Source organism: Homo sapiens, chromosome 6 (genome assembly GCF_000001405.40).
Source record: "Homo sapiens chromosome 6, GRCh38.p14 Primary Assembly".
Classification (NCBI taxonomy): domain Eukaryota; kingdom Metazoa; phylum Chordata; class Mammalia; order Primates; family Hominidae; genus Homo; species Homo sapiens.
The window spans coordinates 42,154,628-42,181,994 of NC_000006.12; the positions used below are offsets into that span (position 1 = coordinate 42,154,628).

At 51.0% G+C, this 27,367-nt stretch overlaps 3 protein-coding genes across 6 annotated transcripts, besides 2 other annotated features; all 3 read left to right on the plus strand.

Moving 5' to 3' along the window:
* CIMIP3 (ciliary microtubule inner protein 3) lies at positions 779-8,791 on the plus strand. 2 transcript variants are annotated; one of them, NM_001370581.1, is made up of 2 exons: positions 779-966; positions 8,293-8,791. In NM_001370581.1, the coding sequence occupies exons 1-2, from the start codon at positions 913-915 to the stop codon at positions 8,620-8,622; spliced, it is 384 nt and encodes a 127-aa protein (NP_001357510.1). In that variant the 5' UTR covers positions 779-912; the 3' UTR covers positions 8,623-8,791. The 2 variants fall into 2 exon arrangements, with proteins under 2 accessions (NP_001357510.1, NP_001371923.1); NM_001384994.1 differs by having other exon boundaries at positions 779-858.
* On the plus strand, positions 779-25,429 carry GUCA1ANB-GUCA1A (GUCA1ANB-GUCA1A readthrough). Of its 3 annotated transcripts, none has more exons than NM_001319061.2 (6): positions 779-966; positions 8,293-8,839; positions 18,706-19,187; positions 23,653-23,802; positions 24,175-24,268; positions 24,616-25,429. In NM_001319061.2, the coding sequence occupies exons 3-6, from the start codon at positions 18,987-18,989 to the stop codon at positions 24,774-24,776; spliced, it is 606 nt and encodes a 201-aa protein (NP_001305990.1). In that variant the 5' UTR covers positions 779-966; positions 8,293-8,839; positions 18,706-18,986; the 3' UTR covers positions 24,777-25,429. The 3 variants fall into 3 exon arrangements, with proteins under 3 accessions (NP_001305990.1, NP_000400.2, NP_001305991.1); NM_000409.5 differs by having other exon boundaries at positions 8,293-8,468; NM_001319062.2 differs by lacking the exon at positions 8,293-8,839.
* Positions 11,112-12,079: an enhancer, noted in NCBI's record as "H3K27ac-H3K4me1 hESC enhancer chr6:42133477-42134444 (GRCh37/hg19 assembly coordinates)". NCBI's record gives its function as "activates a minimal SCP1, AML or CMV promoter by ChIP-STARR-seq in naive H9 embryonic stem cells {active_cell/tissue: H9 hESC(naive)}" and the evidence as "EXISTENCE:reporter gene assay evidence [ECO:0000049][PMID:30033119]".
* On the plus strand, positions 18,737-25,429 carry GUCA1A (guanylate cyclase activator 1A). The gene is made up of 4 exons (NM_001384910.1): positions 18,737-19,187; positions 23,653-23,802; positions 24,175-24,268; positions 24,616-25,429. The coding sequence occupies exons 1-4, from the start codon at positions 18,987-18,989 to the stop codon at positions 24,774-24,776; spliced, it is 606 nt and encodes a 201-aa protein (NP_001371839.1). The 5' UTR covers positions 18,737-18,986; the 3' UTR covers positions 24,777-25,429.
* Positions 24,403-25,107: an enhancer, noted in NCBI's record as "H3K4me1 hESC enhancer chr6:42146768-42147472 (GRCh37/hg19 assembly coordinates)". NCBI's record gives its function as "activates a minimal SCP1, AML or CMV promoter by ChIP-STARR-seq in naive H9 embryonic stem cells {active_cell/tissue: H9 hESC(naive)}" and the evidence as "EXISTENCE:reporter gene assay evidence [ECO:0000049][PMID:30033119]".

Consider the following 27,367-nt stretch of genomic DNA (forward strand, 5'->3'; position numbering starts at 1 on the left):
CCATCCACTCACACATGGTCACTCCTATTCAGCCATCTGTCTATCCACCTGTTCATCCATCCCTTTATCTCCCAACCCTCTGTTCAAAGCAATCCATGAGAAGGAATGGCATATGTAGAGGCTCAGAGGGGAGAGAGTGGGGCATGTCTAAGAAACTAGCTACTCCATAGAGAGCAAGGGAAAGATAGCAAGAGATGAGGCTAAGGAGATGAGCAGGGCTCAAATCACAAGGGTTGGCCCATCCACCATCTATCTGCCAACCCAGTCCATCCACCTGTCCATCCACCCTCCCACTCATGTCCACCCATCCATTCATCCACTCATCTCTGTAATTTGGAAGGCAGATAGATGATAGATAGATGATAAATAGATGATTGACAGGTGGTAGATGATAGATGATAGATAGATAGATAAATAGATAGATAAATAAATAGATAGATTAGATAGATAGATAGAATGAAGAGTTGCCAAGGTACATTTCCTTCCTGACAGTGATATTGGGACATGGGGGGATATTAGGACTTCTGGAGGCACCTTGATAATTAGGATGATCTCTCTCCATTCACCTCCTGCCCACAGTTTTAGGGTTCTATGGGTTTGTGGGAAGAGGGAATAGCATAGTGGGCCAGTGTCAAGGTTAAAAGACCCTTCCAGGTCCTGAAACGTCAGTCCCCAGCCCTGGCCTCATGTCTCCTTGGGAAGACAGAAGGAATTGTGTTGTAAAGAGGTGTCACAATGCCCCCTGCCCCATACAAGTTCTCCCCACCTTGGCACTCTCAGTATCCTGCCAAGAGTCCTCCCTGACCACCAGAAGTTCCACCTCACCATCAAGAAAGGCCCTGGTCCAGGATGTGCAAGGTGTGATGAAATCACAGGGCTGGGGAAGGTCAGCTCGGGGTCACAAGAAGCCTGATGGGCAGGAAAGAGCATGAAAGCCCCAGCCAGCCTCACATGTGCGGCTGGGAGGTAGGTCCTCTTACAAAAGGCTTAGTTGGGTGCTGGTGCTGGTGCTGCTGCCTGCCTTGTACTCCCCAGCTGTCGGACCTCTGCGATCTCTCTGGGGAGATGGAGAGAGGGAACAGGACACCCTCCATCTTGCTTCCTCTGCCCCTTCACTGCTGTAAAGTGTGTCCTGGACTGTTTGGTTCGTGTTACACCATCTCCAAGGCAAACTTGAGATAAATAATAATTGTAGCTAAAGTTTGAGTGCTTAAGAGGTCTAGGCACCTTACATGGACTAGCTCATTAAGTCCTCACATGAACCCTATGAGGTAGAGCTCTTGTTATTCCCACATTATACTTCGGAAAATTGAGGTACAGAGATTATAATTTGCCTAAGGATCAGGCAGCTAGTGAGTGAGAGGGCTGGAATTCTATTTATTTTTTTTTTGAGACTCGCTTTGTTGCCCAGGCTGGAGTGCAGTGGCACAATCTCAGCTAAGTGCAACCTCCGCCTCCTGTGTTCAAATGATTCCCCCACCTCAGCCTCCCAAGTGGCTGGGATTACAGGCACCTGCCACCACGCCCGGCTAATTTTTTTGTATTTTTAGTAGAGACGGGGTTTCACCATGTTGACCAGGCTGGTCCCGAACTCCTGACCTCAAGTGATTCTCCTGCCTCGGCCTCCCAAAGTGCTGGGATTACAGGCGTGAGCCACTGTGCTCAGCCATTTTTTTTTCTTTTTTTTTTTTTTTTACTTTTTTATAAAATAGAGATGAGGTCTCTCAATGTTGCCCAGGCTGGTCTTGAACTTTTGAGCTCAAGCAATCCTCCCACTTCAACCTCCCGCTGAATTACAGGTGTGAGCCACCGGGCCCTGCAGGGAACTGGAATTTGAACTGGGGTAGCTGGCTCCAGGCTCTCATGCTACCCAGTCACATGAGGAAGCTGAGGCCTACCCCCGGCTTCCCTAACCACTCCCTTCAAAGCCCCTGTGCTCCCCCAAAGGGAAACGTGCTCTCCTATAGGTTCAGACAGGTATGTGTGTGAAACCACGGTGTAACTGCCCGAGAGGCTGAGAGTAATGACTATTTGCACTGTGCCTTTACCGTTCCCAGCACTCATGGCACCCCACCACAAGCTGGTGAATTAGATAGCCTTATTATCCCCATTTTGCAGATGAGGCCCCTGAAGCTCAAAGAGGCTCAGCCACTTGCCCAAGGTCGCCTGACCTGTAAGAACAGGGTCAGGCCCAGAGCTCAGACCTTCAAACACCAAAGCCAAGGCACATTGGACAGCACCACGTGCCCCTGGGGGCCCTCACCAGCCTTCACACCCAAGTGCTATTTGCATTTCAATAAGGCACAAGGCCTTCCCCCAGAGTGAGGAGGCTACAGGTGGAATTTCTCACTGGGCAAGGCCATGTGCCTATGGCCCTGGAGGATTTGAGAGGACAGGGTGCCTTCCTAGAAAACCTGTAGTAATATCACAGATGAGATCTTCTTGCCCTACTCAGAAAGCCCCACTCTTGAGTCATGCACTTCCTCACTCTAAACCCCGGCATAAGGGACAAACGCATATTAGTATATATGTACATATTAATACATGTGTACTGTGCATCTGAAAGGCCTTTGTGGGGTCCGCCTGTGGGGATGGGGGTTATGAAGGGATATTTCTTTTTTCTGAGACAAGGTCTCACTCTGTCACTTAGGCTGGAGTGCATTGGCTGATCTCAGCTCCCCGTAACCTCCTCCTCCCTGTAACCTCCTCCTCCCTGATTCAAGTGATTCTCCTGCCTCAGCCTCCCAAGTAGCTGGGATTACAGGCGTGCACCATCACACCCAGCTAATGTTTTGTATTTTTAGTAGAGACGGGGTTTTGCCACGTTGCCAAGGCTGGTCTCAAACTCCTGGGCTCAAGTGATCTGCCCACCTCAGCCTCCCAATGTGCTGGGATTACAGGCGTGAGCCATGGTGCCGGCTCTTTTTTCTTTTTTTTTTTTTAATAGAGATGGGGTCTCACTATGTTGGCCAGGTTGATCTTGAACTCTTGGCCTCAAGCAATCCTCCTGCCTTGGCCTCCCAAAGTGCTAGGATTATAGGCATGAGCCACCACGCTGGCCCAGTGAGGGATAATTCTACCTAGATTCCTTCTTTTGGCTTTAGCTTAGAACCCAAGTGAAAATAGGATCATGGGATTCCCAAGGGAGGGGAGGGGCTGGTGAGAATCTCTACTTGTCCTGTAACTTCATCACTCCCTGTAGAATGGAAATGAGGGAAGCAGTAGGGGAGATGGGGCTTCTTCCTCAACCCTCTAAACCAGGGTTTCTCAACCTTGGCGCTTTTGACATTGGACGCTGATGATTCTTTGTTGCGGGGGCTGTCCATTGTAGGATACATAGCAGCATCCCTGTCTCCTACCCGCTGGAAGGCAGTAGCACCCACCCCACACTGTGTGACAACCCAAAATGTCTCCAAACATGCATGCCAAATGTCCTCTGGAGGAAGAATCACCCCTGGCTGAGAACCAATGATCTAAAGTCACATACACAGTGTGCGCACACCCAGCACACTTGACGAGGAGCATGTGAGCAAAGAATAGCCAGTTAAAAGAAACCAGATGTTAACCTGGAAAGTATGCAGTCAGGCCCCACCCTCAGCCAGAGCTGGCTCTGCTAGGCCCTGGGGGAGGTAATGGGGTGTCCTCAGCCCTCTGAGGTTAGTCACTTGGAGGCTGGCTTGGCCCCTAGAAAGGGCAGGGGAGGGCTAGTGCTGCCTGACTCCCTCTTCCTCCTCTTCCACCTCTTCCCCTAGACTGTCTGTGTCCCAGTTTTTGTGAGGGCTTCATCCCTGGATGTTCCGGGGACCCTGGCTGTCCCCTACCCCTGCTGCCCCCAGAGTCCTGTATGTTGCAGCAGCAGCATTCTAAACACAGCCGAGGTGTGGACCCAGGGCAGGTGGGCCCAAGCCAGGGCCTGGGCTAGGGCAGAAAGGGAGGAGAGAGTTTGAATCCTGGTTCCCACACTAACCAGTTGTGGGACTTCTGCAAGTTACTTACATGCTATTCTACAAACTGTGAACTCAGAAAAATGCTTTGATGCCTCCGAGCCTCAGTTTCCTTATCTGAAAAATGGAGGCAATGTCTCAAATGGCTCTTAGGAGCTTTTGCAGAGCTGAGTGGCTAATGCCTGACATTTGGCAGATCCTCAATCCTGTGAGTAAAGAGTGCCACCCTTCCATCTGTGGGCTGCTCTCTTCAGTTCCCCAGCCATTCTAAAAGCACCTGCCTCTGTCACCCCTGGCCCCAACCCCATGAGCCCAAGATGGCCAAGAGGCTGATGCAGCCTTGGGGCTGAAGGGTTAGTGGGGAGCAGGGATGGGGGGTGGGGTATCTGCAGCTCCCTCATCTTCATGGCCCTTCTGTGGCGTCAGGAGGACAAAACCCACATGCTTAGACACATCCTTAACACAAAGAAACCTAAGCCGCTTCTTGCAGCCCAGGAAAGGACGCATTCTCCAGGCCAGGATGTCAGCCTCTACCAAGGATAAAGAGATTGCCATGGGTCCTATAGCACTGATTGTCACTGCCCTCAGGGGACATTGGGCGATGACTGGAGACATTTTTGTTGTCACGACTGGGAGAAGGTGCTACTGGCATCTGGTGGGTAGAAGCCACCACTGTAATTCTGCAAGACACAAGACAACCCCTCTAACAAAGATTGTCCAGCCCAAAGAGGCAGAGGTACCAAGGCTGAGCCACTGTACTCCACAGGGACCCTCTTGTGCTCAGTCGTGGTGTCTTTGTCACCTTCACACCAAGAGCCTGGCATCCAAGAGGTGCCCAGGAATGGTTGTGAATGAACGAATGAAGCAACTCATGTCCTATCCTCAGCTCTGCTAAGAGATGGTGATTCATGGTGTAGACCTCACACTTCCCAGTGTGTTGTTCTGTCCATGCAGGGTCCAAGAACCCAGAGCCCAAATCCAGCAGTCAAAATCCCACAGTGTTCTTGCCAGACTGGGAAATCTGGCTGCCCCGCCCTCCAGTGAGCCGGAAGCTGTGCAGGGCAGCCTTGGCTAATCACCTGCCACCCAGCACACCTGGCAGGAGCTCAGTGGGTTGATGAAATGAGGACAGAAAGAAATAGAAGATCCACAGGCCCCTGGCAGGCCCTGCTCACATACCACAGTGGGCACAAGACACGTCATGGAGCACAGGGTGTGGAAAGACCTGGGTTCAAATCCCAGCCTTGCTCCTCACCAGTCATGTGACCCTGGACAGGGGACTGACCTCTTCAGTTTTTGTCAATTACAAGTGGGGCTAATAATAGTAACACCTTCCTCAAAGGGTTAATGTGAGGATTAGAAGAGGTAATCCACTGACAGGGTTTGGTGCGGTGCTACAGACTGAAGTGGAAAAGAATCTTTTGTTTTTTTTGAGATGGGGTCATGCTCTGTCACCCAGGCTGGAGTGCAGTGGTGTGATCACAGCTCACTGCAGCCTCGACCTCCTGGGTTCAAGCCATCCTCCTGCCTCAACCTCCTGAGTGGCTAGGACCATAGGTGCATGCCACCATGCCTGGCTAATTTTTAATTTTTTTTTTATAGAGACAAGGTCTCCCCATGTTGCCCAGGCTGGTCTTGAACTCTGGGCCTCAAGTGATCCTCCCACTTCAGCCTCTCAAAGTGTTGGGATTACAGGTGTGATCCACTGCACCTGGCTAGAAAACAATCTTTGATGACCACTATCACAGTTCATTTCCAGTGCTTGCCCCTCTGCCTATAAGCCCCTGTGCCCTGGGGCTGAGCCTGGAAGAGTCTGGGAAGGCTGTAGAACACTTGCTCATTTCTTGTGGCTGTGCATCAGCACTGGGGTAGGCTCTAGGGAAAAAGAGATGCATAGAACGCAGTCCTGACTGCTGGAGCCGTTTACAGCCTGTTGGGACTTTAGCAAAGGACTATACTGGGACTAAGATGAGACGAGACTGCAGCAAGCGGTCCCAGTGCACTTGTAGGACTCTGAATGACAACTTCTTCAAAATGTGTGTGCCTGACTCACCTTAGTCCCTCCAGCGAAGGAGCACATCCTGAGAGGGGTCCAGAAGGCACAGAAGAGGACAAGATGGGACAGGGGCTGCAGGAGTCTTCAGTGGTTCCTGGAGAAGGTTTCAAGTCTGCTGCTGAACTTGGAAGAATAGGAAGAATTTCAAAAACTGCAAATTTGCAAAACTGAGGGCACATTTATACCTGGGTAGGAACCAATAGGAACAAAGCCTGCTTTGGAGGAAAGCCCTGGACAAGTTTGGGCTGGGCAGATAGTTTGTAAATTAAACCCAGAGGAGGCCGGGTGAAGTGGCTCATGCCTGTAATCCCAGCACTTTGGGAGGCTGAGGCGGGCGGATCACCTGAGGTCGGGAGTTTGAGACCATCCTGACAAATGTGGAGAAAACCCATCTCTACTGAAAATACAAAATTAGCCTGGTGTGGTGGCGCATGCCTGTAATCCCACCTACTCGGGAGGGTGAGGCAGGAGAATTGCTTGAACCCAGGAGGTGGGGATTGCAGTGAGCTGAGATTGCATCCTTGCACTTCAGCCTGGGTAACAAGAGCGAAACTCCATCTCAAAAAACAAAAAACAAAACAAAACACAGAGGAAATACATCATGATTTGAGCAAAGGAGACTTCTTTTGTAAGAGGGCAGGAGCTCAACTTCCACTAACCCTGTACCTAGGGGTTCTCTCACAGTGCCTAGAGGCTGGAGGGCTGTGAGGCTGGGGGAGAGGAAATGGATTCCCCTGACCGCTGAAGCCTGGGGGAGCAGAATAGATCCAGCCTGACACACACGCAGGATGGATGATTGCCTACAGATGCTTCATCCTTTGGTGGTGCTGTCACGGTGAGGACAGTCCCTAGTAAAATGTACAGCTGGTACCTGAAACGTGGTGTGGGGATTTGAAGGTGAACAGGATAGCTTGGTCACAGGAAGGGTAGTGACAGAGGAATAAATAAATGTCAATGTGAGGCGCTAAATGTGTCAATGGGGGCCTCCTAGAGATTGAGTAGACCCCAATAAGTAATCAACCAAGAGTGGTGGTTAGGACGAGGTAGGTATGGGTGAGTAGGAGACACATTTGGTAACAATGAGATATGTTATAAAATAGAATGGGCTGGCTGGCTGGAAAGTGAGCGGGTACCCCTTACTAGAATTCAGTTCAATTGATCCAGCATTTATCAAGCTTTCTCTAAATGCATTCTTCTGGAGTAAAACAGTAAATAGGATTTTGGAGGCTGTTATGTCAAGGGTAAGAGTATGAGATAGTTGCCCTCAAGGAGCTGAAACTCTAATGGGAAAGACAGAATTTCCCTAGTGCACAGGAGGGAGAGCACGCAAGGCTGGGGAACACCTGAGCCAAGGTACAGGCTCTGGAAGTACCGGATGTGAGCAGGGAACAAGAGGTAGACTGTGTGGCTGAAATGCTGGGTAGGTGGAGGGATGGAGGGACTGGAGAGTGGAAGCCACATTCTTTTTTTTTTTTTTTTTTTTTTTTTTTTTTGAGACACAGTAGGCTGGACGCAGTGGCTCACGCCTGTTATCCCAGCACTTTGGGAGGCCGAGGCGGGTGAATCACCTGAGGTCAGGAGTTTGAGACCAGCCTGGCCAACATGGTGAAACCCCATCTGTACTAAAAATACAAAAATTAGCCGGGCGTGGTGGCGGGTGCCTGTAATCCCAGCTTACTCAGGAGGCTGAGGCAGAAGAATCGCTTGAACCCAGGAGGCGGAGGTTGCAGTGAGCCGAGATCGTGCCATTGTACTCCAGCCTGGGCAACAAGAGCGAAACTCTTTTTTTTTTTTTTTGAGATGGAGTCTCGCTCTGTGAGTGTGAAGCACAGCGTGACCAAGTAGGAGGGTGGGAGACAGGAAGCCCTGGTGGAGGGCAAGCTGGAGGGGCCCCACAGGATAGAGAGGTCGAAGGCCTGACGGAGCAGTGGCAGGGAAGAGGGAGGGGAGGGCCACACAGGAGCCAGGCCAAGGACACGGACAGACGATTGGATGCAGGGAAGGGGGGTGGGGAGGGACTGAAGATAATCCCCAGGTTCCTAGCCTCTGGGAGCTGGCAGTTGCCTCTGGTAGGTAGGCAGAGTTCTGCAGCAGCAGGGGGCCAGGTCAGGGGACCCTGATGGCTCTCCCCTGCTCTGGAGGTCCCTGGCTCCATGGTCAGCACAGCAGTGCTCCAGAGTGGCTCTGGGGGCTTCTGAGCAGTGGCTCTTTCTCCTCCCTTCTGCCCCTGGCATAGCAGTTGAAGTCCCAGTATCCAATGCCTCAGCTCTCCCCTTCTTTCCCCCCTCCCAGGACTCACAGAAACCCTCTGTACCCAGTCATGGGCCAAAGACACCGTCATGCAAGGGGGTGAAGGCTCCACACTCGTCCCGGCCCCGGGCGTGGAAGCAGGACCTCGAGCAGTCTCTGGCAGCAGCCTATGTGCCGGTCGTTGTGGACTCTAAGGGGCAGAATCCGGACAAGCTCAGGTTCAATTTCTACACCTCCCAGTACTCCAACTCCCTGAACCCCTTCTACACTTTGCAGAAGCCTACCTGTGGCTACCTGTACCGCCGGGACACTGACCACACCCGCAAGCGCTTTGATGTGCCTCCTGCCAACTTGGTCTTGTGGCGCTCCTAGGCCTGAGCCAAACGGAAGCCCCCGACCCTTCACCCTCACCCCTGTGACCTCAGGTCCCCAAGGGGAAGGGCTGCTCACTGCAGGAGGAGTGACCTATATTCGGGCTAAGACAGCTGTGCCATGCCCACCTATTGACAATGATAAAGGGAGGTCTCTCTTCTCAGCAGCAGTTAAAGTTTGTCCTTCCTTTCCCTGGCATCTGAATGGGTGGCTGTGGGTAGGTAAACAGGCCATGGGGATGTTATACAGTAAGGTTATGTCCAGAGGTTTCTGAAGACTTGGAAGGACTTGATTCTCAGTTCCCTAACCCCAAAAGTAACCTCAACCCTTCTCCAGAGCTGAGTCCCAAGCAAAGCCCATCCTAGCTCCAGCCTCCCGATGGTCCAGGCTCGGACCCCTCCAAGGAAGAGAGGGTGGGTGTGGTGGCTCACACCTGTAATCCCAGCACTTCAGGAGGCCAAGGTGGGCAGATCACCTGAGGTCAGGAGTTCAAGACCAGCCTGGCCAACATGGTGAAACCCCGTCTCTACAAAAATTAGCCAGGCATGATGGCAGGTGCCTATAATCCCAGCTACTCGGGAGACTAAGGAATGAGAATCCCTTGAAGCCAGGAGGCAGAGGTTGCAGTGAGCCGAAATCATGCCATTGCACTCCAGCCTGGGTGACAGAGTAAGACTCCGTCAAAAAAAAAAAATTAATTTAAAAAAAGGAAGAGATCCATCAACTGGCCATGACTCCTGCTCTCTTACAAGGTCATCTTACCCTGGTTGGAGCAGCTGCTGCAGAATGAGGAAGAATGCAGGGAATGAACACAGACTCTAGGTCCCCTCCCAGACCCAGTTTTACATAAAGCTGCTGCTTCTGACTTGTAGTTTGTTGGTGGGGGAAGGATTTCCCATCCTTGCCGTCTCCTCTGGTCTAGAAGAGCTGGCTCTGAGGCTAGTTGAGCTCATGGGTCATGGGGCATGGAAGAGGGGGATGGAGGCAGAGGGCACTGGATTCACAGCAGGGGCCTGAGTGAGTTCCCAGTCACTGCCATTCAGAGGGAACCCCAGTGGTGTGCTGGAGCCAGCTTGTACTGACTTGTAAGAGCTGGTTGTGCCCATGTCTTCCCTACTCCACAATCAGTGATTTCTTTTTTTTTTTTTTTTGAGACGGAGTCTCGCTCTGTCGCCCGGGCTGGAGTGCAGTGGCGTGATCTCAGCTCAGTGCAAGCTCCGCTTCCCGGGTTCACGCCATTCTCCTGCCTCAGCCTCCTGAGTAGCTGGGACTACAGGTGCCCGCCACCACACCCGGCTATTTTTTTTTTTTTTTTTTGTATATTTAGTAGAGATGGGGTTTCACCATGTTAGCCAGGATGGTCTTGATCTCCTGACCTTGTGATCTGCCCACCTCGGCCTCCCAAAGTGCTGGGATTACAGGTGTGAGCCACCGCACCCGGCCCACAATCAGTGACTTCCTGTTGGCAGTTTGGAATCAGCTGTGGTGGGAGCATTTACACCACAGAAGTGAGCAAATGCCTACAAATTGGAGTTTCTTTTTTCCAGAGAGCTCATCATTAAACATTTACCAGCACACCACAGGGTGAATTCAGCTGGTTTCATTCCTAGGAGTCTCGTCCCTCTGTAGGTATGGTGGTGTATTCTGTGGGGCATAATTCCTGTGCAGGAGAGGTTGGGGTTGGTGTGGGAAGGAGAGACAGGTGTCCAGAGACCCCGACAAGCAGCCCACAACAAGGCCAGGCTGTCCTGTGGGCCTTTCTTTGAGAAGATGGTAAGCAGTGTGGAGGGAAGTGGAGACCCCTCGAGGCGACCCTAACAGCATAGAATCCGCGTTTTCCTCTTGGCTTGCTGTAGGCTCTCTTTTGAGTTAGAGGTTTTCCTCAAATGCCTGATGAGCCTTGGCTGGCCTCAGACCATCTGGCATCTGTACCAGGTCTCTCCTTCTGCTTGGTCATCAGTGTTCAAGGAGCCAGCCACGGGAATGAGCTGGGGTGGGGGAAGGCGCATGGTGGTTTTCTCACTGTCCATATGTAGACTTTCTTTTAACGCTCCATTTATAGAATGGCACATGTCTCTTCCTGAGGCTGTGCCTAGAGACTAGCGGCTCTCTGGCCCAAATCTCCAGAAGAACCTTCAATCAGGGTCAGGAGGGGACTGATGCCGGGAGATGCCTGTTCTGCTGCCTTGCGGAGGGCATCGGAGAAGCTAAGTGTTCCTTATGCAAACTTTGGCCAGCCCTATTTTCTGCTCCACCTGTGCTGCATCCCAGCCTTCAGGGGCACCTGGTATCTCTGCCTCCCTATTCCTGCAGCAGGAATAGGTTTGTCCCGAGCTCCGCAGGCTCCTCCTCTTTGAAAGCATTTAGGTTTCGACTTTCTCCACTCTCATAAGAAAGACAGTTACCACTTGTCCATCTGTCTTGTTTTCCAAAATTTTATTAGAACCCCTGTATCTGCTGTCTTTTTTCCTCTTTTCTTTTCTTTCTTTCTTTTCTTTTTTCTTTTTTTGAGATAAGAGTTTCACTCTTGTTGCCCAGTCTGGAGTCCAATGGCGGGATCTCAGCTCACCACAACTTCCACCTCCCGGGTTCAAGCGATTCTCCTGCCTCAGCCTCCCGAGTAGCTGGGATTACAGGCATGGGCCGCCATGCCCTGCTAATTTTGTATTTTTAGTAGAGACGGGGTTTCTCCATGTTGGTCAGGCTGGTCTTGAACTCCTGACCTCAGGTGATCCACCTGCCTCGGCCTCCCAAAGTGCTGGGATTACAGGCGTGAGCCACTGTGCCCAGCCCCTTTTTCCTTTTTTGAGACGGAGTTTTGCTCTTGTTGCCCAGGCTGGAGTGCAATGGTGCAATCTTGGCTCACCATAACCTCCTCCTCCCAGGTTCAAGCGATTCTCCTGCCTCAGCCTCCCGGGTAGCTGGGATTACAGGAATGTACCACCATGCCCGGCTAATTTTTGTATTTTTAGTAGAGACGGGGTTTCTCCATGTTGGACAGGCTGGTCTTGAACTCCCGACCTCAGGTGATCCGCCCGCCTCGGCCTCACAAAGCGCTGGGATTACAGGCGTTAGCCACTGCGCCCGGCCTCCTTTTGTCTTTAAAACATGCATTTATTCATATTTTAGTGGGATTTTGAAAAGAAGCAGAGATAAGTGGAAGTTTTCAGTCTATGTATAACTAGAAGTCTTGCTCATTCAATCAGTCAGTCACCCAACAGACCCTGTGGGCTGTGTCCTTAAGATGCAAAGATATTAACAGGAACCGTCCCTTCCCTTCCAGATCCTATAGCCTGTGTAGGGTGAGGGGCAGGATCCCCATGAGGCGTCTTCACTCCCACAACAAACGCCTCCTCCCCTACCCTGGAGAATGGGCTCCCTCTTGAGGTTCACCTTGGTAATGCAGCCTCCATGGACGCCCTTAGAAACCCTTTAAAGAAACCGGCCAAGGTACCACCTTGTTTTGAGTGAGATAGGCCCAGGAGGCAACTGAACCTGTGCTCAGGGTCCTTCTGTGTTTCTGTGGAGTAGAGGGGCAAGCAGGCAGCCTTAGGGGGGGATTAGTCTGGCCTGGATCACTGCCCCTCCTGTCTCTTCCTGGTTTGTCTTCCTACCTCTCTGCAGCTGCCCCATCCTCCCTCCCCTCGGCCCCATTCCGCCAGGTGGAGCCTCTTCCTCTGATCTGGCTTCTGTCCCAGGAGGGATTCCTGCAGGCAGAGCAGCCAGGGAAGGCAGGAATCCTCCCTGTGTATGCTGTGTGACCTGTACTCTGGCCCTCTGTGCCCTAACGCATACCTTGTGCATACTGCTTCCTTGGGGCCTTGGTGTTGATCTCAGTCCTCCTTGCCTTGGCATCCCTGTCTCAGGGGATTCCATTCCCACCCTGGGCTGGAGACAAGGGGTGGGGGCCCTCCTCCCTCAAAGGGAGCAAGCTCTCTGTCAATGGAATTGTTGGGCAGAGGGCCACAAGGGGAGGACTGAGGGAGATGGCGCTGGAGTGAGGGGCTCGTGGGGTCCCCCTGGCTCTATCCAGCCCTTCTGCAGGGTGTGAAGGCTTAGGAGAAAAGCATGATGATGAGGTGGGAAAACTTTGGTACCACCACTAAAGTGCTCGTGAACCTGAGCAGGTGATTTAAATTTTCTGCCCCAAGCCCCTTTTGTCTCACATGGCAATAATAATACCCACCCCACAGGACTTGTGCACCTATTCAACAAGCATAGTTTCATCCAATTTTAGCTTTTTGAGAATTCTTTCTTTCTTTCTTTCTTTTTTTTTGAGACAGTCTCGCTCTGTCGCCCAGGCTGGAGTGCAGTGGTGCGATCTCGGCTCACTGCAAGCTCCGCCTCCTGGGTTCACGTCATCCTCCTGCCTCAGCCTCCTGAGTAGCTGGGACTACGCCGCCAAGCCTGGCTAACTTTTTTTTTTTTTTTTTTTTGTATTTTTAGTAGAGACGGGGTTTCACCATGTTAGCCAGGATGGTCTTGATCTCCTGACCTTGTGATCCACCCATCTCGTCCTCCCAAAGTGCTGGGATTACAGGCGTGAGCCACCATACCTGGCAAGAATTTTTTTTGATTTGGAGCTTCACTCTTGTCACCCAGGCTGGAGTGCAATGGCACGATCTCGTCTCACTGCAACCTCTGCTTCCCAGGTTCAAGTGATTCTCCTGCCTCAGCCTCCAGAGTAGCTGGGACCACAGGCGTGCACCACTATGCCCGGCTTATTTTTGTATTTTTAGTAGAGACAGGGTTTCACCATGTTGGCCAGGCTAGTCTCGAACTCCTGACCTCAGATGATCCACCCGCCTCCGCCTCCCAAAGTGCTGGGATTACAGGTGTGAGCCACCCTGCCCGGCCTAAGAATTCTTTTCTTTTCTCTTTTATTTTCTTTTCTTTGACGAAGTTTCGCTCTTGTTGCCCAGACTGGAGCACAATGGCGCGATCTCGGCTCACTGCAGCCTCCGACTCCCAGGTTCAAACGATTCTCCTGCCTCAGCCTCTGGAGTAGCTGGGATTACAGGCACCCGCCACCACACCCGGCTAATTTTTGTATATTTAGTAGAGACGGGGTTTCACCATGTTGACCAGGCTCGTCTTGAACCCCCGACCTCAGATGATCCACCCTCCTCAGCCTCCCAAAGTGCTGGGATTACAGGCGTGAGCCACCGCGCCCGGCCCCAAGAATTCTTTCTTTAATCATATGTGCATGCATGCATGCACTCAATATTTTACTGGGCTCAAGCCCGTCAGTCAAATATTACTCTCAAAACGGTAATTTAGGAGAGTTGATGTGGGGACTATTAACAGAGAGCTGGGCATAGTTAAGGGAATGGTGATGTACCCAGACAGTAGCGAGAGGGAAGCCCTTATCATGCCTGGCGGGGCAAAGGGAGGGAGCCATGATTACAGGAGCCCAGAGAGCTATGGCAGGAGCGGTGATTGAAGGTGGAAGGAAATAACCGCTGCCCCAACCCTGAGCTGGCAGGGAGGAGTGAGGACAACAAATGTCCCAGCTCTTCTCCCTCTCCACCCTCCAGTCTTCCTCCAGCTTCTCAGCAGATGAACCCAGCCTGAAACAAGAGGGCAGCAGAGTCTGGGTGATGCAGTCTGTAGGGTCAGTCTTTGGGGCTCAGAGCTGGAGGAGAAAGGGGGAGAATGAGTCGGGGCTGGGCAAACAGAACAACTAGCGCACGACAATGTGGAATGTGTGGTGCCAGGAGCTGGGGGCAGGCGAGACACAAATAACAGAATGGTCTCCACCCTCTGTGAGCTTGCTGGGTTCCTTAGAGCAGGCTGGCAAGAAGAGTTGCCTATATAATACTTCTGGAAAGAAATGAATGCTATGTCCGTGTTATTGTAGAAGAGTGAATGTCATAATAGACCCTAAGGTGACCCCAGTGATTTCTACCTCCTGTTGTTCCTACCTTTGTAAAATTCTCTCCCTTTGAGTGTGGGTGAGGCCCTTGACTTGATTCTAACCCATAGAATATGGCAAAGGTGATGGGACGTCTCTCTGTGGATTATGTTAGGTTATATAGACTTTAGCAGATTGCAGAGAGACTCTTCTCGCTGACTTGATGAAATAAGCAGCGTGGTGAGGAAGCTGGTGTAACAAGGAACAGAGGGCAGCCTCTATGACCTGAGTGTGTCCCCCAGGCAATGTCAAGTGAAAAGCCAGCTCCCTTGTCACATAGCCACAACAAAATGAGTTCTGCCAACAACCTGAATAAGTTGGAAGTGGATTCTTCCCCAGTTGAGCCTCCAGATGAAAATACAGCCCAGGTGACACCCTGAGAGCAGCCTTGTGAGACGCTAGGCAGAGGACCAGCTAAGCTGTGCCTGGACTCCTGGCCCATAGAAACTGTGAGATAATAAATGTGTGGCCAGGCACGGTGGCTCATGCCTGTAATCGCAGCACTTTGGGAGGCTGAGGCAGGTGGATCACCTGAGGTCGGGAGTTTGAGACCACCCTGACCAACATGGAGAAACCCTGTCTCTACTAAAAATACAAAATTAGTGGGGCATGGCGGCACATGCCTGTAATCCCAGCTACTCAGGAGGCTGAGGCAGGAGAATTGCTTGAACCTGGGAGGCAGGAGGTTGTGCTGAGCCGAGATCGCATCATTGTACTCTAGCCTGGGCAACAAGAGTGAAACTCCATCTCAAAATAATAATAATAATAATAATAATAATAATAATAATAATAATAATAAATGTGTGTAGTTTTAAAACTGCTGACTTTGTGGTTATTTGTTATGCAACATAGAAAACTAATATAACACACACATTAGCCAGAGTTCTTCAGAGAGACAGAGCTAATAGGATTATATATAGAGGTATGAGAGAAGATTTATTAGGGGGATTGGCTCACATGTTTATGGAGGCTGAGAAGTCCCACAATATGCCATCTGCAAGATGGAGAACCAGGGAAGCCAGTAGCATGGCTCAGTTCAAGCCCAAAGGGTTCAGAGCCAAGGAAACTGATGGTGTAACTCTGGGTCTGAAGCTGAAGGACTGAGAACGTGAGAGTGGGGAGGGGTTGCTACTGGTGCAAGTCCTGGAGTCCAAGGGCAGGAGAAGAAGAGTGTCCCAGCTCCAGGACAGAGAGAGAGAGAGAGAGGGAGAGAATTCACCTTTCCCCTGCCTTTTTCTTCTGTCCAGGCCTAAGCCAATTGGATGGTGCCCACCCACATAGGCTGAAGGCAGATTCTCCTTACTTAGTCCATGAATTCAAATGCCAGTCTCTTTGGCAAGCACCCTCACAGAAACACCCAGAAATAAAGCTTTACCAGCTTGTTGGGTAATCCCTTCATCCAGTCCTAAAATTAACTGTCACAACACATAAGCAAAATGTCAGTATGCTGTGGGAGGAAGATATTTGAGAGAGATTTGGGAAGGCTTCACAGAGGAGGTGGCATTTGTACTCACACATGAAGAGTGAGAGGGATTTAAATAGAAAGGGAAAGATGAGCGGCTGCCTTGTCCCCAACCTCTTCATTTCCCAATCTTGGGCCTGAGAGTCCTCGGCAAGGACACATTTTCCAGCTGGGCCCCAAGCAAGTTCACAGAAGGAGTCCTTCTCTCCCCGTCCCTTAACTTGTTGTGGAGAAGCTGACTGAAGCAGGGAGAACCCAGCTCCCCACCCCCATATACCTTCCGTCAATCAATTCATGTGGAGTAGAGGTAAAACAGTCCCAGTTTGTCTCTTTTTCAAAAATAACTATCCTCTTTGATTTTGTGAGCAACATATGTTCATTATGAACAATTTTTTTTTTTTTTTTTGAGATGGAGTCTCTCTCTGTCGCCCAGGCTGGAGTGCAATGGCGTAGTCTCGGCTCACTGCAAACTCCGCCTCCCAGGTTGAAGTGATTCTCCTGCCTCGGCCTCCCAAGTAGCTGGAATTACAGGCGCCCACCACCATGCCTGGCTAATTTTTGTATTTTTAGTACAGATGGGGTTTTACCATGTTGGCCAGGCTGGTCTCGAACTCCTGACCTTGTGATCCACCCGCCTCAGCCTCCCAAAGTGCCGGGATTACAGGCGTGAGCCTGGATCTGGTAAGGCTTTAACAAAGGCCTCCACCTTCCCTAGGGCCTGACTACAGCTGGTAGGTGGCCTGTGTGAGGCAGGTTGGATGTCTGTTCCTACACATAGCCCTTCTGGCCGTCCAGGGCCCAGAGTGAATGGGGCTAAAGGGACAAGAGCACGATTGGCTCTAACCCAGGGATGCTGCTGTGTCCAAGATGCAGTATAAGTGCACCTAGATTGTAGTGAACAGCACATCAGACATGCTGCTGTAATAGATACAAAATCATAACATCATAGCCAAGATTTATGGGGCACTTACTCTGGGGCAGACCTTGTTCTAAATGCTTTTCTTATATTAACTCACATACTCTTTTTTTTTTTTTTTTTTGAGATAGGGTCTCGCTTTGTCATTCAGGCTGGAGTGCAGTGGTGCGATCTTGGCTCACTGCAACCTCCGCCTCCTGGGTTCAAGCGATTCTCCTGCCTCAGCCTCCCGAGTAGCTGGGATTACAGGAGTGTGCACCATCACGCCTGGCTAATTTATGTATTTTTAATAGAGATGAGGTTTCACCATGTTGGCCAGGCTGGTCTCGTACTCCTGGCCTCAAGTGATCCACCCGCCTCGGCCTCCCAAAATGTTGGGATTACAGGTGTGAGCCACCGTGCCCAGCCCCACTTACTCCCCTTAACAGCCCTATCAGATGGGCGCCATTATTCCTATTTTAAGAATGAGGAAACTGGGGCCCAGAGAGGTTAAGTTACTTGCTCAAGGTCACCCAGCCAGTAATGTAAGCAAGAAACAAGCTTGTATTGTTTTCAGCCACTGAGATTTTAGAGTGGTTTGTTACTGTAGCATAACCTAGCCCATTCTGAAATATGTATGCACATGTATTTGATATATGTTATATGTTGTATAAATTGTATATTTATATAAATCTATTTACATGTAATTATATATTATTTATATAAATCATATAAATTGTGTATCAGTGCACAACTTGACCAAGTGTCCAAGGCCCTGGTGGGGAAAGCAGAAATATGGGCAGTGGTTCCCTCTAGATGAGTTAGGAGACCTGGGTGTGCCCCATATGTAAAGGAGGAAGGCAAACAAGAGAAAAAGACAGGGCAGGGCAAGCGCTGGCTTTAAGCTTTCCTGGCAGCATCCAGGTTAAGTGCACCTGCACCCAAATGCTGGTTCCATAAATGAGCCAGCTTTTAAGTGTGTGGCTAGGGAGTACGCATCCCACCAGGCATCAGAGAAAGCTGTTGCTGCATAGACAGGCCCCCAGGCTTGGCCTGGGAGCTTTCCAGGACCAGCAGGTAGCAGCTCACCCATGCACCTGTGTGCCTGCACTCTCACACTCACACATACCCCAGGGCACCAGGCGCACACTCCATGTCCCCTGCCCTGTGCCCCTAGTAGGTGATGGTGATGATGTGAGGCTCAGAATTAGATGGAAGGATGAATTCAGGGCTCTCAAGAAGGGAGAGATGCAACCTTCAGGAACATGAGAGTGTGGCCAGAACAGGATGAGTGTGTACGAGTGTGTGTATGTGTGTGCACGTCTCTGTGTACTGGTGCAGGCTAATGTAGGAGGGGGTTCTCTCTGGCTGTTCAAGGCTTATCTTGGAAGCCCACAGACTCTGCATCCACCCAGGTGCCCTCAAATGTTAGCACACTCATGGTATGATTGGACCCCCTCAGTTGTGATGGCCAAGTGCAGTGCACAGCCTGGATAACTGTACACAGCAGCCCTGTCAAGAGCCCACAGTTGGCCATCTCTGGACAAGAAGCCAGCTCTATCTCATATATACCTCAATTCCATGATTGAAGGCAGAATCCAAAACCACTGTGAATCCACTCAAACCAGGAGAAGAAGGTCACAAAGGTCATAGGATCAGAGCAGCTTCTAGCTGACACCCACTCCGTGGTGGTAAGAAGGGATTAGAAGATTGCAAACTGGGTTAAAAAATCCTCTCACCTACAGCTCAAGGCTGTAATCCTAAGGACTCTGCTTCTCTAAGCCTTGTTCTATTTTCAACTCTTTTCTCCAGGGTACAGTCTCCCCTGGGGCTGCAAGGATTTAGTGGAGACTCTTAACACCAGTTCTCTGGCATCTGTGAGTTTGAGTGTGGGCCATCATCTTCTTCCTTCTGCTCTCTCCCTCTCCACATTTCCCGGTACCATCTGATCCATCAGGCCCTTCTTTGCTCAGGCCTGAAGGACTCAGGCCTGTGAGAGAGGACGGCCCCGTTGTCGGCCAAGACACCTTTGGGCGAGGAGCAGCGAACAGGGCCTGTCCATCTCAGACGTCAGCCCCCTGAAGGCCTGAGCAATGGGCAACGTGATGGAGGGAAAGTCAGTGGAGGAGCTGAGCAGCACCGAGTGCCACCAGTGGTACAAGAAGTTCATGACTGAGTGCCCCTCTGGCCAACTCACCCTCTATGAGTTCCGCCAGTTCTTCGGCCTCAAGAACCTGAGCCCGTCGGCCAGCCAGTACGTGGAACAGATGTTTGAGACTTTTGACTTCAACAAGGTGAGCAGGGGCCCAGTGGCAGGGAGGGGAAGTGCTGGAGGGACCCCTCTGGAAGCCTGACCAGCTGGGGGTGAGGAAGAGCAGAGAGGAGCATAGAAGTGTCCGCTGGGGAGCAACTTCATTTATACAGTCATTTGTTTATTTGATAGGTGGGTTTTTGACACTAGGGTTTCAACGGATCTAATGTTTGTGCTTTAATGAGCACCAACTGTGAATCAGGCACTGGGGGGTTAGAAATGTATCAGACATTGTCCCTGCCCTCACTTTCTAGGGCAAGACAGAGAGGCCCACACATTAGTGTAATCCGAGGCTGAATCCAATGGCTTCCTCCACCTCTGCCACAGGCATATCTTGGTTTACTCCAAAACGAGTGTAAACACTTCCAAGATGGTCATTGAACACCTGCGATGTGCTGGTCCTATACGTGGTGCTTTTGCAAACACCCTTTGAAGCTCCCAAGGATGTGGGCAGAGGGGCAGAGAGCAGGGAGCAAGATGATGATTCTCTAGCCTCACTGTCTGGCATGGGCAGGCCACTTATAATATTCTGCGGACATGAGGACTGGAGACAGACAGGGTTGCCTGGTCCCTGGAGAACCCAGAATGCTCCCAACTTCAAAATACCCAGTGACCTCATATCACCTTTTCTCAAGTGAGCCTGAAGGTCCACACCGTGGTCAAATTGTGTCTCCTCAGTAGCCACCTGGACGCATTAGGTAAGGACTTCCTAATTGATAAGCTAGAGGGGTCACTGAAAGGTGAGTTTGGGACTGTGGGTTTGGGTCCCTAGCTTTCATCCGCTGGGTGACCTTGAGCCCATCATTTCCCCTCTCAGTCCCAGTATATTCATGATGCCGTGGATGTTGGGAGCATTAGTTAAGATGTTTGTTGGTTTTCATAGTAAATCTTCCATTCATTTGGAACTATTTGGTCAAGACATAGTTGTGGAAGAGCCCAAATCTGCAAACGTGGCTCCCCACCCTGTGGCCCCTCACTTGAAAAGTGAGGATGCAATGAGGCGCTGCCGCGTGTCCTCTGCAGACCCGGGAGAGGTTCCTTCCCTCGCTGCCCAGAAGGTCCAGGCACCATCATGGGTGGGGCTTCTTGGGAAAGCTGGGGCTCAGTGGCTATTTAAAACTCACTAATATTTAAGGATAAGGGACCAAAGTAGATTACGGGCTTTGAGTGTCAACCTCAGGTGTAGTATGAGGGAGCCCAAGGGCTTTCCCGAAGCGGGAGCAGGTGAGCAGAGTCCAGAGCCTGTGTACAGAGACTGGGAGGGATGGCATCATCACATTCAACACTCAAAATGCTCCCGAAGAAGGAATAACTCCTGAACAGGAGGGGAAGGACAAATGGATGGTTGAGCCTCACACCTTACCCCCAAACAGCGACATATCTCATCTTCTCACCTGCTAAGAAAACCCTTTGGGTTAAGACATGTCTGCAGAAGGACCCTTACAGTCACACATATGACGCCGGTGGGGGTGGGGGAGGGCAACCCTGGGGCACATCGACCCTGTATTTGCCTAATCATGTCTTTTTTTTTTTTTTTTTTTTTTTTTGAGATGGAGTCTCGCTCTGTCGCCCAGACTGGAGTGCAGTGGCGTGATCTCGGCTCACTGCAACCTCCACCTCCTGGGCTCAAGCGATTCTTCTGCCTCACTCAGCCTCTCAAGTAGCTGGGATTACAGGCACCCACAACCATGCCTGGCTAATTTTTGTATTTTTAGTAGAGATGGGGTTTCACTATGTTGGCCAGGCCGGTCTCAAACTCTTGACCTCAGGTGATCCGCCCACCTCGGCCTCCCATAGTGCTGGGATTACAGGCGTGAGCCACCACGCTGAGCCAACCATGTCTTAATGTGTGTCCCATGCGAGCACCACCTGTACTGTACCAAACCTGACCCTTGTCTTTCCACTGAAAGTAAATCAACCCCTTGTTTCTAGGCAGTCTGGCCTCCTCCCTTATTCCACACACACCCCCGCCTTAGGGGTTTTGTGCTGCCTGGGACCCTCTCTGCCCCCAGAATTCTGCTCGGCTTACACCTTCCTCTGCTGCAAGTCTCTGCTTAGAAGTCTCCTCACTAACCCCTGCCGTGATCTTCTGGTTTAAACTCTGTTTAAAACTGGGACTGGTTCCCACCTCTGCATTTCCTAGTCCCACCTTTCCCCGCAAGCACCTGTCGTCTTCCAATACCAGATTTAAATAACATTTCACCATTACGTTTATCGCCTGTCTCCCCCTGCTGGAATGTGAGCTCCATGTGGGCAGGGATTTTTGTCTTGTTCACTGTTGAATCCCTGGTTCCTAGAACAGTGCCTGGATTGTGGCAGGTGCTTAATAATATTCATTGTATGAGTGAATGAATATATGAGAAATCAGGAATTTAATGGCTAGTTATTTTATAATATACATCAATTTAACTCTGCAAATATTAAAATGAAGAGTGACTTTGTAACACCCAACCTGCCTCATCTACACCCATGGCACACAATCACACTTTGCATAATACTGTCTTGACCCATTGTCATCAGCATGGAGCAGTTTAGCAGATTGGCTAGGAGATGGAACACAGGATTGGGAAGTTTTTGTTGTTGTTGTTGTTTTGTTTTTTGTTGTTGTTGTTGTTTTTTGAGATGGAGTTTTGCTCTTGTCACCCAGGCTGGAGTGCAATGGCACGATCTCGGCTCACTGCAACCTCCACCTCCTGGGTTCAAGTGATTCTTCTGCCTCAGCCTCCTGAGTAGCTGGGATTACAGGTGCCCACCACCACGCCTGGCTAATTTTTGTATTTTTAGTAGAGACAGGTTTTCACCACATTGGCCAGGCTGGTCTCGAACTCCTGACCTCAGGTGATCCACCTGCCTCGGCCTCCCAAAGTGCTGGGATTACAGGTGTGAGCCACTGCACCTGTCCAGAAGTTTTGATACAGAGAGGAGTTAAACAGGGACAGGCAAATGACAGCACACAGGCCTGTTTTTGTAAATGAAGTTTTATTAGAACTCACCACATCTATTTATTTACGTAGAGAATTGTCTATGGCTGCTTTCACGTAAAATGACAGAGGGTGTTTGGCTGCAAAGCTGCATATTTACTCTTTGGCTCTTTACAGAAAAAGTTTGCCATTTTCTAATAAAAACTAAAAAGTTTTTAGTGCAAGTGCCAGCCCTTGCACTAAAAAATGGTTGTATCTTTGGGTATTGCACCAGATGTGCAGGGCTGGGGAGTACAGAGTGTGACTGGGGAGTGAAACCTGGGGGACAGGCCATTTGCTTTGCTTACTTCAAATGTTTGTCTGGGCTTGGGTTTGTCTGACAATCACACAGGTGCACACAAATCAATGCAAATCTCCATCTGCATTTGAGTACTGATATAGGATGATTTAGGAGAGGCTTTGTCATTCACTAGCTGTTTGGCCTAATCTCTCTCAACTTTGGCTTTGTCATTCAAACTAGAGACAAAAATATTCACCTCTTGGGGGTGGCTTGAGATTAAATGAGTAAAATGAATAAAGCACTCAGCCTAGGAAGTCCATGGAGAGCACTAAGAAAAGTTAGTATTGCTATATATTTTCATTGAATCTAATGCATACCACAATCTTGAAAAGTGCACACTGTCATTCCATTTTATACCTGGGAATACGGAGACTCAAGGTCATGTGACTTATCCAAGGTGATTTAGATCTTTCTGGCACAAAAATCCACACCTTTTCCATTGCCCCTTTTTAGACATTAAAAAAAAAACCTGCAAAAGCAATCCAGCTCATTGTAGAAATTTCCAGCAATACAGAAAGATAAAAAATGAAGAGCAAAAGTATCCTCACCTGGTGTCCCCTCCCCCAGAGGAAACCTCTTTAGCAGTTTTCTTGCTTATTCAAGCTGTGCTGTCTAGGGGCCTCTCTGGGCTCTGTGCTGATGACAGTCCTGGGAGGTGGGTTGGGACTGAATGAGCCCACTGTGGGGTTCAGAGTGTTTAAGGCCTTCCGGGGGCCTCAGCCCCTCAGGCAGCAGGGTGAGAAACTCCCAAAAGCTCACCCAAACCACGCTCCCATCCCTGGGGGTGCAGTTCTTCCTCCTCCCACCTACGCACATGTCTCCCATTTCCCCTAACTGGAAAGGCTCATGCTTGACAATCACAGGGAAGCAGGCAGCGCTCGCTAAAACCCAGATGCCTGTGAACAGACAGCGCCAGCCATTCACACCCCAGTGGATGCTGGCTTATTAGATTTGATTGGCAGCCTCTGGAGTAGGCAGGGTGGGCTATACAGGGCGTCTAGGAAGACAGATAGGTCACGGCGGAGACAGGGCTGGCCCCCTCGCTGCATCTCCGAGGGTCCGGGTCTCCCCTCAGCGTCTCTTGGGGCTTGCCGAGATGGGCGGAGCCTTGGGTTATGATGGGCGGGGCCTGAGGCTGGAGTGAGCGGGGCCCGGATGGGCTCACGGCGGCCGCGCCCCTCGCCCAGGACGGCTACATTGATTTCATGGAGTACGTGGCAGCGCTCAGCTTGGTCCTCAAGGGGAAGGTGGAACAGAAGCTCCGCTGGTACTTCAAGCTCTATGATGTAGATGGCAACGGCTGCATTGACCGCGATGAGCTGCTCACCATCATCCAGGTGCAGAGGGCCCGGCCAGGGCTGGGGGCAGCGGTCTGGGGTGGGACCCGGAACTGAGAGCCCAGGGTTAGAACAACAATCTCAGGATTGAGACAGGATGTGGGACTGAGGATCCTGGTGGCAGCTGTAGGCCTCACCAGCTGCGTGACCCAGGCCACGTTCCTTCCCTTCCTTGGCCTCAGTTTCCTCATCAATACCAAAAGACGATAGAAGTTTGACTCTTGAGTCCCAGCTCTGCCTAGGCCCCCGGGTACCCTGCACTCTACTCCTCACTGCTCTTGGGAGCCGGACAAGCTCTGACCGTCCCCAATCCTACCCCTGAGATAGGATAAGGATGGGCCCCTCTCACTTCTGCCCCTTCTTCCCTCCCAGGCCATTCGCGCCATTAACCCCTGCAGCGATACCACCATGACTGCAGAGGAGTTCACCGATACAGTGTTCTCCAAGATTGACGTCAACGGGGATGGTGAGGGGGCCGAGGAGGGGCTCCCCAGCGGAGGGGTCACCATGGATGTGGGGTCACCAGGGGTGGAAGGTCACTAAAGGAGAGGGTGAGGAAGGGAGGAGAGGCCCAAAGGCCCCCGTGCTGGTCACTTCCTCCACCTGCCTCTGCCCCAGCCACAAAGTTGGCTTTTAGGGGCCCCTGGACCAGAATCTGGGCTCTGGGTTCCTCTGCTTGCTGCACCCGCAGCAGGGGCTCTGACTTCTCCTCACGTGGGCTCTGTCCCTGCCCCTGGCAAGAACCCGGTTCTGTGCTCTGGACTGCAGAAATGAACACCCTCCTCCCCCTGATTCCCTTTCTCTCTACCCCAGGGGAACTCTCCCTGGAAGAGTTTATAGAGGGCGTCCAGAAGGACCAGATGCTCCTGGACACACTGACACGAAGCCTGGACCTTACCCGCATCGTGCGCAGGCTCCAGAATGGCGAGCAAGACGAGGAGGGGGCTGACGAGGCCGCTGAGGCAGCCGGCTGAGTGCACCGCCCGGCTGCTTCTGCACTAGCGGGTGGGGTGGTATGGTGGTGCCTGTTGGTGGTGTTCTTGTCTTAACCCTAGATAGAATCTAATGAACTCAGAGGCTTAGCTCGCCTCTTTAGGGTCCATGGTGGCAGCAGAGAGGCAGAAGTGGGAGTCCAGAGCCAGGAACAGTGAAGGATGGTTCCTGGCCCCTCTGAGTGACAGCTGGTGGCAGCACTCCTTGCTGGGGGGCACTGTTCAACATCCCTCTGCCGTCGGGTGACCCCCTAGCCCTTCTGACTCCTCTCCCAGCTTTTCCCAGCTTTCCCCACTGAGCTTCTCCAGTCCATGCTCTTCTGGACGTGGACTCTCTGAGGCAGAACTGAGCTTTTCCAGGCCTCTTATGGAATCCTGCAGATCCAGTGGCTGCAGCTTCAATCCCAGTGCTGCAATCACACATCCATTCTGCCCTGGGGGACCCTGGAGCCTACTTGTGCGCTTTGCATTTCATTGATTGACGCCTCCCTTCAACAAGCATTTACTGAGCGCCTACTATGTACTAATGCTAGATGTTAGATGTACAAAGAAGACAGTTTTCATCCTCTAGGAACTCATAGGCTAATGGTGAGACACACAGACAAACATCATTATAATAAAATATGCTAAGAGAAGTTATGAATAGATTTCTGTAGAAGACACCTACAGGCGTCTGACTCAGAGGCAGCATCACAGAGGTGACCTTTGACTTTGAACAGGAAAGAGTGCTTCGGGGCCGAATGTAGAGAAGAAGGTGATGCATGTGGGGTGGTTGGAGATGCATTCTCTGTGATGTATGTGTCACATGTGGGGGGCTGTGTGATGTGGACAGGAGCATTCTTAGGTGCAAATTTGGGGTATCCCTTGGGATTTAAATTTTACCAAATTTAAAACAGTAAGAATCACCATATCTGTTTTTAGGGAGTACCCCAGTAAGGGAAAACAAACAAACATAGCTTCTTCAAGAGATTTATAATCCTACTAGCAAGATAAGGATGGGATGTTTTGCCAGGTGTGGTGGTAAATGCCTGTGATCCCCAATACTCAGGAGGCTAAGGTGGGAGGATCCCTTGAGCCGAGGGGTTCAAGACAAGCCCAGGCAACATAGTGAGACCCCTCTTCAAAAAGATAAAAGGGAGCCGGGAGCAGTGGCTCATGCCTGTAATCCCAGCACTTTGGGAGGCTGAGGTGGGCAGATCACCTGAGGTCAGGAGTTCGAGACCAGCCTGGCCAACGTGGTGAAACCCCGTCTCTACTAAAAATACAAAAATTAGCTGGGTATGGTAGTGTGCTCCTGTAATCCCAGCTACCTGGGAGGCTGAGGCAGAAGAATTGCATGAACCAGGGAGGCAGAGGTTGCAGTGAGCCGAGATCACACCACTGCACTCCAGCCTGGACAACAGAGTAAGACTCTGTCTAAAAAAAATAAACAAATAAATAAAAAGAAAAAAAGGGTGGAATATTTAGATGACAGTGTAGATCTGAATCTGAATGCATGTGCATGCATTCACTCTGGGAAGCTTTAGTGTCGGCCAAAAAGTGAAAGAGGGTGGGTGGTTCTGCAAAAAATCCTCATTTCTCAAGAAGAAATCCATACTTTTTCAGAAGAGCCTGCGCAAGTCCCTTATACTTCCCCTCCTTGGTGACATGTGGTGTTCCATGGCTCCCCACAGATCTGCGACTCATCGCTCGTTGCAAATAATCTATCCCTGGTCTAACCTAAATCCCTCTTGCTGCAGTGACACCTGATACCAGTTGGGAAGTGGAACAGTCTGTTACAGGTGGGCCCCATCCGCATCTTTGCACATCTCAGCTTTAAGAATACCCAACTCAGGCCGGGCGCGGTGGCTCACGCCTGTAATCCCAGCACTTTGGGAGGCCGAGGTGGGCAGATCACAAGGTCAGGAGTTCAAGACCATCCTGGCAAGCACGGTGAAACCCCGTCTCTACTAAAAATACAAAAAAATTAGCCAGGTGTGGTGGCGAGCACCTGTGGTCCCAGCTGCTCGGGAGGCTGAGGCAGGAGAATGACGTGAACCCAGGAGGTGGAGCTTGCACTGAGCTGAGATCACGCCACTGCACTCCAGCCCAGGCGACAGAGCGACTCTGTCTCAAAAAAAAAAAAAAAAAAAAGGAATACCCAACTCAGAGATCTACCTGTCCAAGGCAGGTTTTCTTGGCTCTGTCCCTGAATTACAGCTACCTGGTTGCTACAGGAACCTGGGGAAACACACAGGCTGGAGCAGTTGTGACCATTTTTTCAAAGATGCTCTTTCTTCTGGGCTTTGAGTCTTCACTTCAGCTGGGTGTGGGGGAGGTGTGGGGAGTAAATGAAAATTCAGGAGTGGAAGCCAGGTGTGGTGGCTTACACCTATAATCCCAGCACTTTGGGATGGGTGCTGAGGTAGGCGGATCACCTGAGTTCAGAAATTCGTGACCAGCCTGCCCAACATGGTGAAACCCTGTCTCTACAAAAAATAGAAAAAGTAGCAGGGCATGGTGGTATGCACCTGTGGTCCCAGCTACTCAGGAGGCTGAGGTGGGAGGATCGCTTGAGCCTGGGAGGCGGAGGT

Excerpts from the sequence above, each read along its gene's own strand:
- CIMIP3 (NM_001370581.1), top strand. The coding sequence starts at position 913 with ATGGGCAGGAAAGAGCATGAAAGCCCCAGCCAGCCTCACATGTGCGGC. Across the intron at positions 967-8,292 it reads CTCACATGTGCGGCTGGGAG|GACTCACAGAAACCCTCTGT; the intron begins GTAGGTCCTCTT and ends CCCCCCTCCCAG.
- GUCA1A (NM_001384910.1), top strand. The coding sequence starts at position 18,987 with ATGGGCAACGTGATGGAGGGAAAGTCAGTGGAGGAGCTGAGCAGCACC. Across the intron at positions 19,188-23,652 it reads AGACTTTTGACTTCAACAAG|GACGGCTACATTGATTTCAT; the intron begins GTGAGCAGGGGC and ends CCCCTCGCCCAG. Across the intron at positions 23,803-24,174 it reads AGCTGCTCACCATCATCCAG|GCCATTCGCGCCATTAACCC; the intron begins GTGCAGAGGGCC and ends CTTCCCTCCCAG.
- GUCA1ANB-GUCA1A (NM_001319061.2), top strand. The coding sequence starts at position 18,987 with ATGGGCAACGTGATGGAGGGAAAGTCAGTGGAGGAGCTGAGCAGCACC. Across the intron at positions 19,188-23,652 it reads AGACTTTTGACTTCAACAAG|GACGGCTACATTGATTTCAT; the intron begins GTGAGCAGGGGC and ends CCCCTCGCCCAG. Across the intron at positions 23,803-24,174 it reads AGCTGCTCACCATCATCCAG|GCCATTCGCGCCATTAACCC; the intron begins GTGCAGAGGGCC and ends CTTCCCTCCCAG.